General features: G+C 61.2%; 1 protein-coding gene across 30 annotated transcripts in view, besides 3 other annotated features; it reads left to right on the top strand.

The window, feature by feature from the left end:
- The first annotated feature begins 2,555 nt into the window (after window positions 1-2,555).
- Window positions 2,556-20,252, top strand: part of ZDHHC11 (zDHHC palmitoyltransferase 11) — a 64,959-nt gene continuing 47,262 nt past the window's right edge. For 15 of the 30 annotated variants that reach the window (XR_007058638.1, XR_007058637.1, XR_007058639.1 and 12 more), the window contains exons 1-5: window positions 4,139-4,245; window positions 12,517-12,738; window positions 14,459-14,637; window positions 15,339-15,605; window positions 19,395-19,519. Coding sequence is in view for 23 of the 30 variants with exons in the window: in XM_024446210.2 (XP_024301978.1) it covers window positions 12,517-12,738; window positions 14,459-14,637; window positions 15,339-15,605; window positions 19,395-19,519 (793 nt within the window). In the remaining 7 variants the exon portion in view is untranslated. Of the gene's footprint in view, window positions 2,925-3,020; window positions 3,570-4,138; window positions 4,246-12,132; window positions 12,739-14,458; window positions 14,638-15,338; window positions 15,606-19,394; window positions 19,520-20,252 lie in introns of those variants that run through there. The other 15 variants (XM_047417754.1, XM_047417752.1, XM_024446216.2 and 12 more) reach the window with 8 other exon arrangements.
- Window positions 12,140-12,789: an enhancer, noted in NCBI's record as "H3K4me1 hESC enhancer chr5:850445-851094 (GRCh37/hg19 assembly coordinates)". NCBI's record gives its function as "activates a minimal SCP1, AML or CMV promoter by ChIP-STARR-seq in naive H9 embryonic stem cells {active_cell/tissue: H9 hESC(naive)}" and the evidence as "EXISTENCE:reporter gene assay evidence [ECO:0000049][PMID:30033119]".
- Window positions 12,790-13,441: an enhancer, noted in NCBI's record as "H3K4me1 hESC enhancer chr5:849793-850444 (GRCh37/hg19 assembly coordinates)". NCBI's record gives its function as "activates a minimal SCP1, AML or CMV promoter by ChIP-STARR-seq in naive H9 embryonic stem cells {active_cell/tissue: H9 hESC(naive)}" and the evidence as "EXISTENCE:reporter gene assay evidence [ECO:0000049][PMID:30033119]".
- Window positions 16,342-16,491: an enhancer, noted in NCBI's record as "active region_22302". NCBI's record gives its function as "activates an Ori minimal core promoter by ATAC-STARR-seq in GM12878 lymphoblastoid cells {active_cell/tissue: GM12878}" and the evidence as "EXISTENCE:reporter gene assay evidence [ECO:0000049][PMID:35858748]".

Below are 20,252 nucleotides of genomic sequence, written 5' to 3'. Positions count from 1 at the left end.
GCACAGCTGCACCTGCCATCCTGTCCCTGGATGCCACCAAGTGCACCGTTCCAGTGGCTGCCTGCAGGCTCTGCTCCCCACCCCCAACTCTGGGAGGACGCCCTTGCTGCAGGGAGGCTGGGAAAGGCAGCATCTGCAGTCCCAAGCTCAGTGGGGCTGTGTACCGCACCCAGCTTCCACTGGGGCTCCAGAGGCCAGGATTCCCTTAACAGGACAGACACTTCCCACAGCCGGGTCCCCAGGGTACAGCCTTGGAGAGCTTGGGCTCAGGAACAACGTGGCTCCTGACAGCAGGTTGCTGTGGAGTCAGGTGTCCTCCCACCATCCGATCTCTGAACACCTCGCTCCACATCCACTGTGAGTGGAGGAGCCCTCGCCACATGCTGGGGCCCCGTCTTAAACTTTGCAGCCCCAGGACCATGAGCCAAATAAGCCTCGTGTCTTTCAGGTTACCCAGTCTCAGGCATTCTTTTACAGCAGCACAAAGCAGCCTGCATCGAGATGACACAGCTGTGCCCTCATGGTGCGGCAGGCGTGGGCGGCCGTCCCTCTGGGCTCGTAGCGCTCTGAAGCAGTTTCTGGGTGGAGGTCAGGTGCAGCCCACAGGCAGTGCTGAGCTGCGGGAGGCAGCCACCCTGCCCGGCTTCCTGGTGGCCTGGCCCTTGTTCCTGCACCCCTCACTCCCCGAGGTCCCCGAGACTGGCTATCCCTCTGGGCGGCATTGTTGGTCCACAGGGTCCCAGCAGAGAGGGGCACTGGGCAGCAGCCACCACGTGGCTTCAGTCTTAGTGAGTGTGCAATGAGGGGACATCTTGAAGAGGCCTATGGGTGACCTACAGGCCGAGAGGCTCCCCTCGGGTCAGGAGATGGGAGTGGGCTGGAGAGTCCAGGGCTCCTCCCGCTGCCCCTTGGGCTGCGCAGATACGGGGCCACCCTGGTCAGCTGATCCTGCAGGACTTAGAGGGCCCTAGTGGTGGCTGGAGCTGTCCAGGTAGGTCATGCGTGGCCTCCCCGGGATTCCGGCAGCCTCTGCTCTTGCTAGCAGCCCGTGAGCCCCTCCACCCTCTTTTGTGGGTACACCACCTTTGGGTGTCCCCAAGCCCGCATGCCAGGGCACAGAGCAGCCACGGTGGAGGGAGCAGGGGCTGGGGCCTTCCCTGAGCTCAGCTTCTCTCTGGTCCCTGGATGCTTCCTTTGTGGTCACACAGTGACTGCTGCTGTGGCAGCCATCTCACGTTGAGGCCAGAGGAGGGGCAGAGGGGAACAGGCTGCCACGCCTGTGTCTGACAGGACACAAGAGCTTTCCAGGGAGGCCCCACAGACATGGCCGTGTCTCAGCCTGGGGAGCGGCTGGGTGTGCAGCTCCAGCTCTCCCTGTGCAGGCAGGGAACAGCTACCGGTACCCCCTACCCTGCTCCCCGCTTGATGTGGGCAGAACCTGGGTAGGGGAGGGGGAGATAGCTGGGAGCAGAGGGCGGCAGTGACAGGGACCACTTGCAGATTGTGGGGCGTGAGGGCCAGCAGCTGTGCATCGCCGGCCAGGGCCCTGCAAGCCTGTGCTTGTCTGAGCCAGGAAGCAGGAGGGTGGTGGGACCTGCTGTGTGGGAGGTGGCATCCTCTGGGCTTGGCTTGGGCCACACTTCCAACCTCTGTCCAGCCCCTCCCACCCTTTGGTGGTTCTGGGGCCTGCAGAATCCAAGATCCGCTCACCCCGTGGTGCCCTCAGGGCTTTGTTGCAGGTGGGGAAACTGAGGCAGATGCCCAGTCGCCCAGAACTACCCTAGGTCCTCTGAGTGTGGCTGAGCCTCCCCCACCATCTGTTAACCTTGGGCACTTGTCAACTTTTAGGTGCCTGACCCCTCCCCGAGCTCACAGCTTCCTGTTCTGAATTGGGAGGCAGAGGAGGGGCAAAGGGGTCTCCTCCAAGACCTCAGTCTGGATAGGGAGTGCGTGCATGGGCTGCAGGTGTGGGGGTGTGCAGGTTCGGATGGGGTGCAGGTGTGGGGGTGTGCAGGTTCGGATGGGGTGCAGGTGTGTGTGCAGGTGTGTATGGGGTGCGGGTGTGGGGGTGTGCAGGTGTGTATGGGGGTGAAGCTATGGGGTCTATGCAGGTGCGTATGAAGGTGCATGTATGGGGGTGTGCAGATGTGTATGAGGTACAGGTATTGGGTGTGTGAGTGTGTATGGGGTGCAGGTGGGTGTGTGGGTGTGCGAGTGCATGATGTGTTTGGTGTGAGGGGTCGGGGTGTGGGTGTGCTGTGGTTTTTGTCTCCACCAAAATTTAAGCGTCATAACCGAATGGCCAGTGTGATGGTGTTAGGAGTGGTGAGGCCGTGAAGGGGATGAAGGTCCTTGCAGACCAGGCCTCAGTCAGCAGAGACCTCTCACCCTCCCAGCGCCTCCACGTGAGAACACAGTGTCTGTCCCCTCCGTAGGATGCAGCAGAAAGGTACCACCTTGGAAGCTGAGCGCCCCCCTCGCCAGACACCAGACCTGCTGGCTCCTGAATCTTGGACTTCCAGCCTCCAGAATGGGGAGAAATAAGTTTCTGTTCTTTAAAATTACTCCGTCTCAGGTATTTTGTTACAGCAGCACATGGGGACTGAGACTGGGTGTGCAGGTGGTGGAGGAGGGTGTGCAGGTGTGTTTGAGGGTGTTTGCCTCAATCTTTAGACAGCATCAGGGCCACAATACCTGCAGGTGTCAGGACGTTAACTGCAGACATTGGTGAATAAAAGCCAGTTGTCCTGAGTTTGGCAAGAAAACCTTTGGAAGAGGCCTCACAAGCCACTCCAGGCTACAAGACGGGGCGTTTGTCCTGGGGGACCTGCCGTCACCCTTAGTGGTCCAGCAGCACCGTCTCAGCCTCTCTGGCCAGAGCAGCTGCCCCGCAGGGGCCCCCGAGTCCTGGAGAGCTCTGTCAGGTAGGCTTCCCTGCCCCTTCCCCCCATGTCGTCCTGGGCACCCGCCCCAGCCCAGCTGTTCCTCTTACTTGTGTACCTCGTGTGTGCCCCTGACAGACAAGATGTCCATGGGCAGCAGACCTCTGGCCACTGCAGGCTCCAGGCACCAGAGTGAGACCCAGCAGGCTTCAGCCGGCAAGAGGGCCCCTGACTGTGGACGACTCCCTCACGGTGGTGGTCTTGGAGGGACCCCTGCTAACAGAAAGGGTGCATCCCTGTCCAGCTTCCCGTCCTCACCCCCAAAGTCAGCGTCAGCAGCTGGCCCGCATCGGAGGCATTCAGATAGGAGTCCTTGGGGACCCCCCCCAACCGACACGAACTGGAAATGCCTTGAGTACTGAGGGAGGAGGGCTGCAGGGACAGGAGGGAGGATGTCCTTAAACACACTTGCTGGCCCTTCTCAGGAGAAACCCTTCCTTGTCATGGGTCGTGGTGAAGCTGTGCTCCGAGTTAAGCCAGTGACCGAATTCCTGAGCTCAGAGGATGGCCAGTGAAACAACTTGCTAAAATGCTGAGACTCCCTGCACTCGCGAGACTACGAAAACACGTGCTGAAGTCAGTGAGAGCCACGGTGGCCAAAGTCTTTGCTCAGAACCAGCTGCGCAGGTCCCTCCCCCGGTTCCTCCTAGGCTGAGTACTCTGGGGTCGCAGTCTTCCTGGACGTCGCCTGTTGGTTGTTGTAGGGGTTTTAGGTGTTTTTTTTTAGGGTTGTCTTGCTGCATTTTGTTGCGGACCACAACGCGTTGCAATCCTAGTCAGCTCAGGGGCTTTTCAGGTATTTGACTTAAGAGCTGAGTAGCTGGGCAGGCTGATAAGAACAGACAAAGCGAGCTCTTTTGCAGGCTAGTAAACTTTCATCTTAGACTACTTTGGTTCAGGTGAGGGCGGCTAAGCAGGTGGGAAGGCAGGGAGGGGGAGGCCGACAAGCAGGCATTGGGGCCCATCCAAGCAGGGGCCTAGTACGTCCTGTTTTTTTGTAGTTTGCTGACCTAAACCGGATCAAGCCACCTTGTCTTGGAAATGGACCACTGCATGCATTATTTCACCTCCACCCGAGTCCATCTCACGCTTTCCTCCCTCCTCATGCCCCCTTGTCCCCTCATCCTCCCAACTGCCATGGCTTTGTGAGGCGCCCTGGGTTCCATGGCTACCGTGTCGACCAGGGCAGCCCACCCACTTCTCACTTTGGTCTGGAGTTAGCGAGAGCGACGCTGCTTTTCTCTTGCTCTTCAGCCTGGACCTGTGATGTGATAGGCGTGAGAAGGAACTGTGGGTTCTGGCGGTAAGGAAAGTGGGGCCTTACTTTCCCATGTTCCCAAAAGGCAGATGCAATCCCTGCACTCCTGAAGGAGTCAAGCAGTAAAGGCAACACAGCAAGACTGTCCGGGACTCAGGCTGTGAGGATTTGTCTTATGAGGGGCCTCAGAAAAGGCCGTTTCCACTGTGGGGAGTAGAGGAATGGAAGGTTTCACCAGGGTGGGGTGGCTTCCAGAGGGTCCCCATGGAAAAAGCGTGGCTGAGCAGGCCCAGAGGGGGACGAGGACACGTTTGGGGGGCTGGAGGAGAGTGAGGATATGCTCAGGGGTGCCAGAGTGTCATAAGGGCAGGGACGGTGAGGACAGACTCAGGGACCACAGTGTCATAAAGGAAGGACAGGGATGAAGAGGACAGACCTGTGGGACCATGGTGTCATAAAGACAGGATGGGGACTTGGACCAGGATAGATTCAGGGACCACGGTGTCATAAAGACAGGACGGGGACCTGGACAGACTTGGGGGACCACGGTGTCATAAAGACAGGATGGGGACCAGGACAGACTCTAGGGGCCTGGTGTCATAAAGACAGGGTTGGGACCTGGACAGACTCTAGGGGCCTGGTGTCATAAAGACAGGATGGGGACCAGGACAGACTCTGGGGATCTGGTGTCATAAAGACAGGGATGGGACCAGGACAGACTCTGGGGGCCTGGTGTCATAAAGACAGGCCTGGGACAGGACCGGGACAGACCCGGGGGACCACGGTGTCATAAAGATAGGACGGGGACCAGGACAGACTCTAGGGGCCTGGTGTCATAAAGACATGACAGGGACCTGGACAGACTCAGGGGACCACGGTGTCATAAAGACAGGCCTGGGACAGGACCGGGACAGACCCGGGGGACCACGGTGTCATAAAGATAGGACGGGGACCAGGACAGACTCTAGGGGCCTGGTGTCATAAAGACAGGACAGGGACCTGGACAGACTCAGGGGACCACGGTGTCATAAAGACAGGACGGGGACCAGGACAGACTCTGGGGGCCTGGTGTCATAAAGACAGGATGGGGACCTGGACAGACTCAGGGGACCACGGTGTCATAAAGACAGGATGGGGACCGGGACAGACTCGGGGGACCACGGTGTCATAAAGACAGGACGGGGACCGAGACAGACTCAGGGGACCATGGTGTCATAAAGACAGGGATGGGACCTGGACAGACTCTAGGGGCCTGGTGTCATAAAGACAGGGATGGGACCGGGACAGACTCTGGGGGCCTGGTGTCGTAAAGACAGGATGGGGACCAGGACAGACTCGGGGGACCACGGAGTCATAAAGATAGGACGGGGACCAGGACAGACTCTAGGGGCCTGGTGTCATAAAGACAGGGATGGGACCGGGACAGACTCTGGGGGCCTGGTGTCATATACACAGATGGAAACAGGAAAGACTGAGGAGGTCATGGCATCTTAAAGACCTGATAGGGTGGGATGGGCACCTGTGGTCTCTGGGGTCTGTGGCAGGGGCTGGTTCTCATGTGTGGTGGTGCAGAGAAGGATGGAGTCCCAGTCTGAGAAGGGGGCTGTCTCCACATCCACAGATGGGGGCAGACAGGAGGCGCCTGGGGTCCACCACACAGGATTGCGCTGCAGGCCCCGGTGCTGGGCAGCCAGTTCCCCGGGCATCGGTCCGGTTGTCATAACACAGGGGGGCCCATCCAGCCTTAGTCGTGCTAAGGGGACCTGAACCCAACATTACAAGTCTTCAGTGTCATGACTCACAGATGCTCCTTTCACTTGAATTGTGTGTGGGAGTGTGTGTGCATTGTGTGGTGTGTGTGGGAGTGTGAGCATTGTGTGTTGTGTGTGGTATTCTGTGGGGGTTGTATGTGTGCGGTATGTGGTGTGTGTGGTTTGTGTGCTGTGTGTGGTATGCGGTGTGTAGTGCAAATGGGTGTGCTCGGTGGTGTGTGGTTTGGTGTGTGTGTGGTGTGTGGTTTGGTGTATGTGTGGTATTTTGGGGGTGTGGTATGTGTGCAGTATGTGGTGTGATGTTTGGTGTGTGTGGTGTGCAGTGTGTAGTGCAAGTGTGTGTGCTCTGTGTGTGGTTTGTGTGGTGTGCTGTGTGTGGTGTGTATTCTGTGTGCGTGATGTGTATTGTGTGTATTGTGTGGTCCCTGTGTGGTATGGGGAGAGTGATGCGTTTGTGGTTGGTGTCTGGTACTTGTCACGTGGTGCACGTGCAGTGTGTGGTGTGTTTGGTGTGTGTGTTTTGCTTCTGTTGCATATGTGTGGCGTGAGGTGTGTGCGTGTGGTTTGTGTGGTGTGTGGTGCATGTGTGGTGTGCATGGAGTTGTGTGGTGTGTGATCTGTTTTGTGTATTGTGTGGTGTGTGGGTGGTGTGTGTTGTGGATTGTGTGGTCTCGTGTGTTTCGTGTGGTGTGGTGTGTAATCTGTATGATGTGTGTTGTGTGGTTTCTGTTTTGTGGTTTGTGTTGTGTGTCTGTGGTATGTGTTGTGGGTGGTCTGTGTTGTATGATATATGTGGTATGTATTGTGTGGTGTGTGGCGTGTGGTGTATGGTGTGTGTGGTGTCTTGTGTGTGTGTTGTGTTTTGTGTGTTGTGGTTTCTGTTTGGTGTGTGTTGTGTGTTTTATGTGGTATGCGGTGTGTGGTCAGTGTGGTCTGTGTTGTGTGGTGTGTGGTGTGTGTGGTACGTGGTCTGTGTGGTATATGGTGTGTGATGTGGATTGTGTGGTGTGGTATATGAACGTGCTTACAGGCCACGGTGGTATCGAGGCTGAGCGTGGGCCTGAGGGGAAGGAGCTGTCCTGGAGTCTTCTCTGGCTGATGTGACGTCCGTGTCCCCTGCTCGCTGTCCTCCATGGGGTCCATGCCCCTTGCTTGCTGTCCTCCGCGGGGTCTGTGCCCCTCGCTCACTGTCTGTCCTCTGTGGGGTCTGTCCCCCCGGCTCGCTGTCCTCGGTGGGGTCTATCCCCACTGCTCACTGTCCTCTGTGGGGTCTGTGCCCCTCGCTCGCTGTCTGTCCTCTGTGGGGTCTGTGCCCCCCGGCTCACTGTCCTCTGTGGGGTCTGTCCCCACTGCTCACTGTCCTCTGTGGTGTCTGTAACCCTCGCTCGCTGTCCTCTGTGGGGTCTGTCCCCGCTGCTCACTGTCCTCTGTGGGGTCTGTCCCCCCGGCTCACTGTCCTCCGTGGGGTCTGTCCCCCCGGCTGGCTGTCCTCTGTGGGGTCTGTGCCCCCCAGCTCACTGTCCTCGGTGGGGTCTGTCCCCGCTGCTCACTGTCCTCTGTGCGGTCTGTCCCCCCGGCTTGCTGTCCTCCATGGGGTCTGTCTTGCCGGCTCGCTGTCCTCTGTGGGGTCTGTGACCCCAGCTTGCTGTCCTCTGTGGGGTCTGTCCCCGCTGCTCACTGTCCTCTGTGGGGTCTGTGCCCCCTGGCTCGCTGTCCTCTATGGGGTCTGTGCCCCCTGGCTCGCTGTCCTCTGTGGGGTCTGTCTCCCCGGCTCTCTGTCCTCTGTGGGGTCTGTGCCCCCTGACTCGCTGTCCTCTGTGGGGTCTGTGCCCCCTGGCTCGCTGTCCTCTGTGGGATCTGTCTCCCTGGCTCGCTGTCCTCCATGGTGTCTCTCCCCCCGGCTCGCTGTCCTCTGTGGGGTCTGTCCCCGCTGCTCACTGTTCTCCATGGGGTCTGTCTCCCCGGCTCTCTGTTCTCTGTAGGGTCTGTGTCCCCCGGCTCGCTGTCCTCCATGGGGTCTGTCCCCGCGGCTCGCTGTCCTCCGTGGGGTCTGTCCCCGCGGCTCGCTGTCCTCTGTGGGGTCTGTCCCCCTGGCTTGCTGTCCTCTGTGGGTTCTGTCCCCCTGGCTCACTGTCCTCTGTGGGGTCTGTCCCCCTGGCTCGCTGTCCTCCGTGGGGTCTGTGCCCCCCGGCTCACTGTCCTTGGTGGGGTCTATCCCCACTGCTCACTGTCCTCTGGGCAGTCTGACCCCCTGGCTTGCTATCCTCCATGGGGTCTGTCCCCCCGGCTCGCTGTCCTCTGTGTGGTCTGTGCCCCCCGGCTCGCTGTCCTCTGTGGGGTCTGTCCCCGCTCCTCACTGTCCTCCGTGGGGTCTGTGCCCTCCGGCTCGCTGTCCTCGGTGGGGTCTGTCCCGGCTGCTCACTGTCCTCTGTGCGGTCTGTCCCCCCGGCTTGCTGTCCTCCATGGGATCTGTGCCCCCAGCTCACTGTCCTCTGTGGGGTCTGTGACCCTGGCTCGCTGTCCTCTGTGGGGTCTGTGCCACTCGCTCGCTGTCCTCTGTGGGATCTGTGACCCCTGGCTCACTGTTCTCTGTGGGATCTGTCTCCCCGGCTCGCTGTCCTCCATGGTGTCTCTCCCCCCGGCTCGCTGTCCTCTGTGGGGTCTGTCCCAGCTGCTCACTGTCCTCCGTGGGGTCTGTCTCCCCGGCTCTCTGTCCTCTGTAGGGTCTGTGCCCCCCGGCTCACTGTCCTCCGTGGGGTCTGTCTCCCTGGCTCTCTGTCCTACATGGGTTCTGTCCCCACGGCTCGCTGTCCTCTGTGGGTTCTGTCCCCCTGGCTTGCTGTCCTCCGTGGGGTCTGTGGCCCCTGGCTCACTGTCCTTGGTGGGGTCTATCCACACTGCTCAATGTCCTCTGGGCAGTCTGACCCCCTGGCTTGCTATCCTCCATGGGGTCTGTCCCCCCGGCTCGCTGTCCTCTGTGTGGTCTGTGCCCCCCGGCTCGCTGTCCTCTGTGGGGTCTGTCCCCGCTCCTCACTGTCCTCCGTGGGGTCTGTGCCCCCCGGCTCGCTGTCCTCGGTGGGGTCTGTCCCGGCTGCTCACTGTCCTCTGTGCGGTCTGTCCCCCTGGCTTGCTGTCCTCCATGGGATCTGTGCCCCCAGCTCACTGTCCTCTGTGGGGTCTGTCCCCCTGGCTTGCTGTCCTCTGTGGGGTCTGTCCCCCTGGCTTGCTGTCCTCTGTGGGGTCTGTCCCCCTGGCTTGCTGTCCTCTGTGGGGTCTGTCCCCGCTGCTCACTGTCCTCTGTGGGGTCTGTGCCCCCAGCTGGCTGTCCTCGGTGGGGTCTGTCCCCGCTGCTCACTGTCCTCTGTGCGGTCTGTCCCCCCGGCTTGCTGTCCTCCATGGGATCTGTCTCCCCAGCTCACTGTCCTCTGTGGGGTCTGTCTCCCTGGCTCACTGTCCTACATGGGGTCTGTCCCCGTGGCTCGCTGTCCTCTGTGGGGTCTGTCCCCCTGGCTTGCTGTCCTCTGTGGGGTCTGTCCCCGTGGCTTGCTGTCCACTGTGGGGTCTGTCCCCCGGGCTTGCTGTCCTCTGTGGGGTCTGTCCCCGCTGCTCACTGTCCTCTGTGGGATCTGTCTCCCCAGCTCGCTGTCCTCTGTGGGGTCTGTGCTCCTCGCTCGCTGTCCTCTGTGGGGTCTGTGCCCCCTGGCTCACTGTCCTCTGTGGGGTCTGTCCCCGCTGCTCACTGTCCTCTGTGGGGTCTGTCCCCCTGGCTCGCTGTCCTCCGTGGGGTCTGTACCCCCGACTCGCTGTCCTCTGCGGGGTCTGTGCCCGACTCGCTGTCCTCGGTGGGGTCTATCCCTGCTGCTCACTGTCCTCTGTGGGGTCTGTGCCCGCTGCTCACTGTCCTCCGTGGGGTCCGTGCCCCCCGGCTCGCTGTCCTCTGTGGAGTCTCTGCCCCCTGGCTCGCTGTCCTCTGTGGGGTCTGTCTCCCTGGCTCGCTGTCCTCCGTGGGGTCTGTCCCCGCTGCTAATTGTCCTCCGTGGGGCCTGTGTCCCCTGGCTCGCTGTCCTCCATGGGGTCTGTCCACCTGGCTCGCTGTCCTCCGTGGGGTCTGTGCCCGCTGCTCGCTGTCCTCCATGGGGTCTGTCCCCCTGGCTCGCTGTCCTCCGTGGGGTCTTTCCCTGCTGCTTGCTGTCCTGCGTGGGGTCTGTCCCCTCGGCTCGCTGTCCTCCGCGGGGTCTGTCCCCGCTGCTCACTGTCCTCCGTGGGGTCTGTCCCCGCTGCTCGCTGTCCTCCGTGTGGTCTGTACCCCCGGCTCGCTGTCCTCCGTGGGGTCTGTCCCCGCTGCTTGCTGTCCTCCGTGGGGTCTCTTCCCCCGGCTCGCTGTCCTCCATGGGGTCTGTCCCCCGGTTTGCTGTCCTCTGTGGGGTCTGTCCCCGCTGCTCGCTGTCCTCCGTGTGGTCTGTCCCCCCGGCTCGCTGTCCTCCGTGGGGTCTGTCCCCCTTGCTCACTGTCCTCTGTGGAGTCTGTACCTCCAGCTTACTGTCCTCCGTGGCGTCTGTCCCCGCTGCTCATTGTCCTCCGTGGGGTCTGTCCCCCTGGCTCACTGTCCTCTGTGGAGTCTGTCCCCGCTGCTCGTTGTCCTCTGTGGGGTCTGTCTCCCTGGCTTGCTCACATTTTCTCTAATTTGGATGTATTACTTTTTCCAATCATCCTTTCCAGCTCTTGGTGCACAGTTTCGACCTGAAGTCTTCAGTCTTCTCAAAGTTCTTCAGTGTTTTCTTTTTTCTCTCACAGACTCTCCACCTTTCTGTTCTGAAATCCTGACAGATGAACGTGTTGTCTCCAGGCTCAAGGCTCAAGGCCGCTGAGCGATTCCCCTCTTCTCCTCTCTAAGATCTGTGGTCCTTCCTGGATTTGATATTCCAGGTTTTACCAATGTGACTTGGCGACATCATTTCTGTTTGTTGGCACTTTCATTTGGGTTTTGTTTTTAACTGGGAATTGTGTTTTTAATGTACAGGGTTGTCTTTCTGTGTTTCTATTTCCTTCCTTGGTAACTTTGACTTTTCTTTCTTTCTTTTTTTTTTTTTTGAGATGGAGTCTCCCTCTGTTGCCCAGGCTGGAATGCAGTGGTGCAATCTTGGCTCACTGCAGCCTCGACCTCCCAGGTTCAAACGATTCTCATGCCTCAGCCTCCCGAGTAGCTGGGATTAGAGGCATGTGCCACCATGCCCTGCTAATCTTTGTATTTTTAGTAGAGACAGGGTTTCGCCGTGTTGCCCAGGCTGGTCTGGAACTCCTGACCTCAGGTGATAGGCACGCCTCGGCTTCCCACAGTGCTGGGATTACAGGCGTGAGCCCCCGCGCCCGGCCAAAGAACCATGGTCCTGTTTCATAACTGTGAGTCTCTCGGGTCTCCCAGAGACATTCTTGTGTGACTCAAGCCCCAGGGTCCTGTGGCCCCGCATCCGCCTGGTGTCACATTTAGAGGACCAGGGAGGAGCCACCAAAGGCAGCGCAGAGCCACTGTATCATGGACGTTCACGACTGCAAGAACGAAGAATTGTTAACTATTTCTCAATGTCTCTCTTCTCAAAGAAATACATTTAATATCAACTTCATTTTCTGAAGGTTTTTTCCCAAAGAGACAACAAGGACTTTGAGCGAGGCATAACGTGGCGAAGCTTCCTAACCCTCCTCTGTAGAGACCGCCCAGCCCCTCAAGATCAACCCCCCACCCCGTAGCGGCCGTTGAGTGTCTTTCACTGCCGCTCTGTGACACCACGTCCCTCCCACCCCTGCCGCCCTCCCCACCTGACTGGCCAGGAGCAGCCGCAGCGTGTTCAGAACCTCCCAGCCACTGTCCACCCGGGCGGAGACCCCAGCCCCGCGTGGCTGGACGGGCTTCCCTGTCCTGTGGAAGGGGAGACACACAGGACCCTGTGAAGTGAGCTCTCGGGTCCTGCTCCTCTGGGAAGCTCAGAGAAGCCTCTCAGGGAGGATCTGGCAGGTTTCAGTGTTGCACCAGTGAGTAACGGCTCACGAGCTCTTCAGGCATTGCCTCAGTTTCTCACAGGCGCAGCCCTCTGCTCAGTGTGGCCTCTTTCTGACGTGGGTTTTCTTCTTGCACCTGGGGAGTCCTGGGTGGGCCTGTGTATTCGTGAACGGGTTGTGGGACCTGTCGCTGTGTGGGGGCTGTCGAGCACTCCCCAGAACGTAACAAATCCTCAGGGGAACTGATGGGCGGTCGCGCGGGCACTGGGTCCTCCACACCCTGGAGAGCCGTTTTCCGTTGCCACTCGGCTCTGGCCGGGGTCACATTCTGCAGCATGTCTGTTCATTCCCCTGGGCGGGGCCCTGCACCGACTCCAGCCCAGCCCCTGCTCCCTCTGCGGGGAACGTGGCCCCAGGCAGTGCTGGGCCATTGGCTGTCAGTGCTGGTCCTGGCGGCTGCATTCCCAGTCCCCTTGGTCTCTGTGACAGTGGGCGGGGCCGGCCCTCCCAGGATCTGACGGCGCAGGTCCTCCCCTTCTGTGTCCTGCAGATGGACACCCGCTCCGGGAGCCAGTGTTCCGTCACCCCAGAAGCCATACTCAATAATGAAAAGCTGGTCTTGCCGCCCCGCATCTCCAGAGTGAACGGCTGGTCGTTACCCCTGCACTACTTCCAGGTGGTGACCTGGGCTGTCTTCGTGGGCCTTTCCTCGGCCACCTTCGGGATCTTCATTCCCTTCCTGCCTCACGCGTGGAAATACATTGCCTACGTGGTATCCTTTTCATCGTGGCATGGTCTAAGCGGGAGGGGTTCCTGGAGGAACTTGCGATGGACCTGGCTGTGGGGTCTGGGCCATGGCTGCCCGGTGGCACCAGTCACCTGCCCTGGGCCAGACTATGTCCCCTGAGCCTGCAGGTGGGCCCAGTGGCCACTCATGCTCTGTGCAGCCCCTGCTTAGGGTCAGGACAGGACAGCGTTGGCTGAGGGGGCTCCGGAGAGGGAATCTGTCAGGAGGGACAGCAGCCCCCTGGCGTGGCGCAGGACCCGCCCTGCTGGCAGCCTTCCGCTAAAATCCCTGCGCAGCATTTTGCACATGGCCAGCACCTTTCTCCTTGCCCCTGGTGCCAAGGAGGAACAGCGCCATGCCCCGCAGGTCGGCAGCCTGCGTTTCCATGCCAAGCTTAGGCCACACTGCGAGGGCCTCTGGGCTGCCCTGCGGAGATGGCTGTCAACCCTGAACTCCTGGCTAGAAGGCGGTCCAGGGGCCAGGCAGGGTGACTGGAGGGCCCCGCACTCCACCCCTTCTATTTGGTTGCCATGGAGAGTCTGTGTTTGTCCCAGGGTGAGAGGAGGAGGGAGCCAGGATCTGAGGGCGGGAGCTGACGTCCCAGGCACGGGGAGCCCAGCTTCTCCTGGCTCCAGGGGACAAGGATCCTCTCCCCAGTGCCCCCGCAGCCAGGCTCTGAGCCCAGAGGGCCCAAGAAAGAGGCCCAGGGTCCCTGAGTGAGTCTGGGGTCCTCGAGAGAGTCTGGAGTCCCCGAGAGAGTCCGGAGGGGCCCTGAGGGAGTCTGAGGGGGGTTTCCCTGAGCTATTCTCGGGGAGAGGGTCCCTGAGTGAGCTGTCTGGGGTCTACAGGGAGCGGGTAGGTTGTGCAGCTCCCTCGCTCCTCCCCCTGCTCCTCCTGTCTGAGGCTGTCTTCTCTCCCAGTGCTCAGGGGTCTCTGGTATGAAAGAACCCAGGCTCCTCCAGGGCCTTTGGGGCTGCATCCGGCTGTGTTTATACCTGGGATGTCCCTCCTGTGGCCCTGCTCTGTCCCTCAAGCTGTAAAGGGTTTTGGGGTCACTGTGCTTGGCTGGGCTGACTGAGCCTCTGGGGGTGCGGTACATTCTGTGGGGGATTTGCCCTGTGTCCAACAGGGATGAACCAAAAGGGGCACGGGGGCAGCCTTCCCGGTCCCCGACTGGCACAGGGCTGTGTATGCAGGGCCAATGGGTAGCCTCATCTTCTCTAGGCCTGGGTAAGCAGGGCTGTGTGTGCAGGGCCGACGGGTGGACTCATCTCCTCTAGATCTGGGTGAGCAGGGCTGTGTGTGCAGGGCCATGTGTGAAGGGCCGGGTGTATAGGGCCGTGTGTGCAAGACTGGATGAGCAGGGCCATGTGAGCAGGGCCGGGCATGGGTGAGCTGGGCTCGGGTGAGCAGGGCTGGGTGTGCAGGGCTGGCTGTGCAGGGCTGGCTGTGCAGGGCTGGGTGTGCAGGCCCAGGTGAGCACGCCCAGGTGAGCAGGGCCAGGCGAACAGGGCTCAGTTGTGCAGGGCTGGGTGTGCAGGGCTGTGTGAGCAGGGCCAGGCCTGGGTGAGCTGGGCTCACGTGTGCAGGGCTGGGTGAGCAGGGCTGACCAGCGGCCACGCCTCTTCTGGGCCCTTGGGCCTCACGGGGACGCCTCGTGCCAGGCTGACCAGGCCCTGGGCCAGGTTCTTCCTTGACATGCCAGGTGACCGGGGGGATCTTCTCGTTCCACCTCGTCGTCCACCTGATCGCGTCCTGCATCGACCCGGCCGACTCCAATGTCAGACTCATGAAGAACTATTCTCAGCCCATGCCCCTCTTCGACAGATCAAAACATGCACACGTGATCCAGAATCAGTTCTGCCACCTGTGCAAGGTCACCGTGTGAGTGCCCGCCCTCGCCGAGGCCCCAAGGTGTCAGGGTCACCTCCAGGGTCCTGGTGCTCAGGTCACTGCTGGCCCCTCAGGGCCCGTGCCATGGCCGCAGCTGATGCTAGTGGAGCTTCCAGGGCCCGGCCCTGTGGCTGCGGGTGGATCGCCCCTCATCTCGCTGTGAACCGGGCGCGGTGCCGGGCCGCCCCAACTCCTCCGCAGGCAGGGCTGAGACTGGAGGGCTGGGTCTGTCACCTGCAGGTGACCCGCTGCTCCCCTGGAATGAAACACAGCAGCACTCAGGCATGTTTGGTCCTCAGTGGATTTTGTGCACGAGGTCCCTCCCCTGAGGGCCCAGGGCAAGAGAGCACTGTCTTTCTTGGGGAGTTTCAAGACAAGCCCCTAGGAAAGTGGGAGGTAAGGGTTCCAGTGTCTCCAGGGGCCCTGGAGGCCTCTGTGATGGCCTAGGGGTTGGCTACAGGGCTGTTGTCAGCTGCAAGGGAGGCCCTGTAGGCACAGGTGGGATCCAAGCCCCCGGCCTCAACTCCTGGAACCATGGGGCAGGCGCGGCCTCCTCCAGGGCCATGGCCCAGAGTGAGGCTGGTGTAGGACGGCTGGCGGGGGGTCTATGCTCAGGGCGGCCAAAGACACAGCTCCTCCTGCTCTGTGGCTACCTCTGCCCACAGCTGCCCTGCTTCTCCTCCTCCCCACAGGCCTCAACACCCTCCCCCAGCCTCCCATTCCCTGCTGGACGCCCTCTCCCCAGGCCGCACAGGGCTGGTTCCTCCGAGGCACCTGGCTTCCAGTGATGGACCTCTGGCCCTGCCCCAACCTGCGCACTTGGGGCCTGACAGGCGTTCCCCGATTCATCCCTCCAGGAACAAGAAAACCAAACACTGCATTTCCTGCAATAAGTGTGTGTCCGGCTTCGACCACCACTGCAAATGGATCAACAACTGCGTGGGAAGCCGGAATTATTGGTGAGGGGCACAGAGGGGATGGCCGGCACGGGCCAGGCTTGGGGGAATTTGGAAGGGAGGGGTCTGTGGGCAGGGGTCATCGTGTTGAAAGGGTGGAGGGTCCTCTTGGGGCCGCGTCCCTGTCCTGATGTGGTGGCGCTTGGTGCCTGCGTGCCCCGGCCTCCTGTCTGGCTCTGGGGCTGTGGTGCAGCCGTCCCTGGACAAGCTCATCCGCATAGAGTAAGTCCCTGGAGGCCCCCCGGGGGCACTTGCGGGGCCACGCTGGCTGAGGCCTCCTGACCACGCTGTCCTGGGCTGGGCTGCCTTCTCTCCACCCAGGCTGAGGCTCATCCAGCACAAGGGTGGGGCCACGGAAGGGCAGTGGGCACCCAGCGCAGATGGGCGAGAGGTGTTTCCCCTGAGCATGGTCGAGGCTCACAGATGAGAGGTGTTTCCCTGAGCACGGTGGAGGCTCATAGACGAGAGGTGTTTCCCCTGAGCACGGTGGAGATGCAAGGAAGAGAGATGTTTCCCTGAGCACGGTGGAGGCTTACAGATGAGAGGTGTTTCCACTGAGCATGGTGGAGGCTCACAGGCGAGAGGTCTTTCCCCTGAGCACGGTGGAGGCGCAAGGATGAGAGGTGTTTCCACTGAGGATGGTGGAGGTGCAAGAACGAGAGGTGTTTCCCCTGAGCACGGTGGAGGCTCACAGATGAGACGTGTTTCCCCTGAGCACGGTGGAGGCTCATAGACGAGAGGTGTTTCCCCTGAGCACGGTGGAGGCTCAAGAACGAGAGGTGTTTCCCCTGAGCATGGTGGAGGCTCAAGGACGAGAGGTGTTTCCCCTGAGCATGGTGGAGGCTCACAGGCGAGAGGTATTTCCCCTGAGCACGGTGGAGGCGCAAGGATGAGAGGTGTTTCCACTGAGGATGGTGGAGGTGCAAGAACGAGAGGTGTTTCCCCTGAGCACGGTGGAGACTCACAGATGAGACGTGTTTCCCCTGAGCACGGTGGAGGCTCAAGAACGAGAGGTTGTTTCCCCTGAGCACGGTGGAGGCTCATAGATGAGAGGTGTTTCCCCTGAGCACAGTGGAGGATCCAGGGACTCTCAAGGCCCCGTGTGCTGAGCCCCGGCTGTCTGCAGCACTGTATTGTGAAGATCACCAGGGAAAAGAACCACGCCTGCTCCCCAGCTACTCTGTGCTGACCTGAAAGAGGCCTTGGTGTGCGTGGGAGTGGGGACCAACGTTGCCTGGTGTCACAGGACGCACCGGGCGGTCCCTGCCCTGCCTCCCTGCCATCCCGTCTGGAGCACAGCATGTGTCCAGAGAGGCTGAGCAGCCCGGCAGGGACAGAGAGGTTGCATGACCGCACAGCGAGTCCAGAGGCTGCGTGAGATGGTAGGGGCCGGGGAGACCCACCGGCCTCCTCCCCTGGAGAAGAGCAGCTCCACGATGGCCAAGGTGGGGCCAGCTCCTCTGGCTCATGCTAGCCCCAGGTGCCACTTCCTTCTGGACTCATTCTGCTCTGGTGCCTCGAGCTGGCTCAATCTGGCGGGTCCTGGTGGGGAAGGTGAGGGGGTGAGGGCCCACAGGCAGGTGGCAAGGAGAGGGTCTGCCTTCCTCAGGAGGGGTGCTGGAGAGGGACCACGTGGGTGCCAAGTGTAGACACCGCCTGGGTGTGGGAAAGGGGCATCAGGAGAGCAGGGCCGGGGTCATGGGCGCCCTCAGCTCCAGGCAGCAGCCAACGCCGGCATCTGTGCCAACCTCGCTTCTGTCCCTTCATCCGCCAGAGGCGGAGAGAGCAACGGCATTGAGAGCAAGATGAGGAAAGTTGAGGAGCTGATGGCAGAGCCCCCGCGAGGGAGGCCGAGCTGATGGCGGAGCCCCCATGGGGAGGCCCAGCTGATGGCAGAGCCCCTGTGAGGGAGGCTGCATACTTCGTAGTGATAAGAGAGGAAGGGGGACGGAAAGAAGGCAGGCGGCGCTGGTGTCCTGGGAAGACTGTGAGCGCTGGCCTCGGACTCTGCAGGTTAAACACAGGCAGCAGGGGCAGGAGGCTGTGCTAACCAAGAGGAGAATGTCCCTGGGTGGCTGCGGGGAGAGGAGGCCCCGCGTGAATGGCTCTGCCCCATCCTGTGGGCTTTTGTCTCTGTGGTCTTAGAGACCCGCCTTCTTTCCTGGATGAAGAGGGGAGTCCTGTCCAGACAGTAGGATGAAGATGAGGGGTCTTTACTCCCCACAAGTGGGCTCAAGCCCAGGAGGACTGGGGGCAGGGTAGGGCGTGTCCGCTGCCTGGAGGGGCTGCTGCTTGGGAAACCTAAGCTGTGAGAGGGAAGGCAGTATGAGGGAGCAGCAGTCAGGGAGCCGCTCATGCCTGGAGCCACCCGTCACCCCTGGATTATCCAGAAGACTCTTGGAGGGAGGAGGAGCGCGGGGAAGGCAGCTGTGCCCTAACTGCCTCTTCGGAGGACTGCGGCATTCATGCTCTGGCCTCCAGTTGAAAATAGAAAAAGGGATTTAAACAAGCTTAGGTGAACATAATACAATGGAAAGGATTAAAGGAGGTTAAAGGATACTTTTAAAAAAATATCATCATGGCAGAAAGACCAAGGGAAGATGGTTTAGTCAAAGTATGTTCCAGGAACTGCTGCCCAGAATTGGTTTTTGTGGATGGATTATTCTCTGCATCTTTTGAGCAAAGACGAGAGACTGGGAGTGGATTTGGTCTCACGTCTACAGCATGGACATCGCTTTTGGCTCAGATTTGCACGAGACCCTTGGAGAAGGGGGGACTGCAGCCGAGGTGTGGCCGGGCTCCTCCAGGGCCTCCTCAGCCCGAGTTCCCTTTGGGTGCAGAGATCCAGGTCCCTGAGCCTGCAGGCCCTCCTGGGTGCCACGGCACTCTCGTGGCTCTCCCCTTCCCTGGCTTCAGTGCCTTTGCCCAGCATGGTGCCATGGAGACCCCAGCACAGACCATGCTCAGGGCCCCCCGAGTGGACCGAGCCCGCGTGCTCCTTGGCTGGTAGGGAGGCCTGTCTGCATCAGGTGGAGTCGGGAGGTGCGGGCAGAGGCCCCAGAGCTGTGACACTGGAGACGCCGTGTGACCCTCATGCTCCGCTGGTAGGCTTGGGCGAGTCGCACCGCATCTCTGACCTCACTTTCCCCACTCGTGAAAAGGGCTGGTTCCCCCTCCTCACAACCTCCTTGTTCCTTGTGGGGATTAAAGGCAATCACGTTTGCAAGAAGCGCTGCCTGAATTGTCGGGCGGTGTGCTGGTGGGAATGTCCCACGGCCACCCCTCTCCAGCGAGAGGCCTGGAGACCTGGGGGGGCGTCACAGGACGGCACAGAGACAGGAGCCTGAGCTTCCAGGCGCGGTCGGGAGCAGGGTTTGAGGCCAGCGTTGGGCGGTGGCCAGGCGCCCTCAAGTGGACGCCCACACTGACCTGTCACCTCCACCCTGCGGGCTCCAGATGCCCTGCGCGTCCCCACCCCTGCGCCCCCCACACCTGCCCTGCATGCCCCCGCCCCTGCCCCAGATGCCCTGCGTGTCCCTGCCCCTGCCTCTGCACCCCCCACCTGCCCTGCATGCCCCCGCCCCTGCCTCAGATGCCCTGCGTGTCCCTGCCCCTGCCTCCCCGCCCCCACACCTGTCCCACATGCCCCGCATGCCCCTGCCGCTGTGCCCCCCACGCCCGCCCCTGCCCACCCCGTGCACACCCCCTGCCCCCGTGCCCCCCACACCTGCCCCTGCGCCCCCACTGCTCCCACGTCCCCACCCCCATGCCTGCCTGTGTGTCTCCCGGCAGGTTCTTCTTCAGCACTGTGGCCTCGGCCACAGCTGGCATGCTCTGCCTGATCGCCATCCTGCTGTATGTCCTCGTCCAGTACCTCGTGAACCCCGGGGTGCTCCGCACGGACCCCAGGTATGAAGGTACGTGGCCGCCGCTCTCAAGGGGCCTCATCCTCGCCTCCAGCCGTCTTTCCGGGTGGTAGTATCGGGTCTGGGGTGGTCGGCCCCTCTTGTCCCAGGGAGAGGCCGGGGCAGGCAGCCCCATGCAGGCTCTGACCTGGCCCGACGGCAGCAGCCCAGTGTTCATACAGCCCAGCAGCCCCCAGCGCGCGGGAGGCAGGCTCGGGGAGGGCGCTGGCCACGCTGCTCTGTAGATGCTGCCAGGTCGTGTCAGGCGAGAGACAGTGGGGTCCACCTCTGCCCCTGCCCTCCGCAGTCATCCCTGTAGCACCTGTCACACCATCCTGTGGGGCCATGTAGTTGTGGGAGGGTGGGGGTGCCCATCCTGCAGGAGCAGCCCATGGGGAGGGAGAGTGGAGGCAGCGCTGAGGGTGCTGGGCTGTAGGCTGCGGTGCGCTGAGGCCCTTGGCCAAGTGGGCCCGGAGCCTGGGCCTCGGGAACCGATGCTCACACTGAGCCACTGGAGAGACGTGGCGGTGAGGACTGTGGGCTCCAGAGGCGAGTCCACGCCTAACCCAGATCCCGTGATGCCAGCATCCTCGGGAAATGGGCCTGTGGCTGTGACTTAATATCTGAGGTGGGAGGGTCGTGCTGGGATGTCCCAGGGGGCCCAAATCCAGCCACGAGTGTGCTTGTAAGAGAAAGGAGAGACACAGAGGGGAGGTGGCCTCGTGAGGATGGAGGCAGGGGTGGA

Source organism: Homo sapiens, chromosome 5 (assembly GCF_000001405.40).
Source record: "Homo sapiens chromosome 5, GRCh38.p14 Primary Assembly".
In the NCBI taxonomy this organism is placed as follows: Eukaryota; Metazoa; Chordata; class Mammalia; order Primates; family Hominidae; genus Homo; species Homo sapiens.
This window is presented reverse-complemented; position numbering and strand designations above follow the sequence as displayed.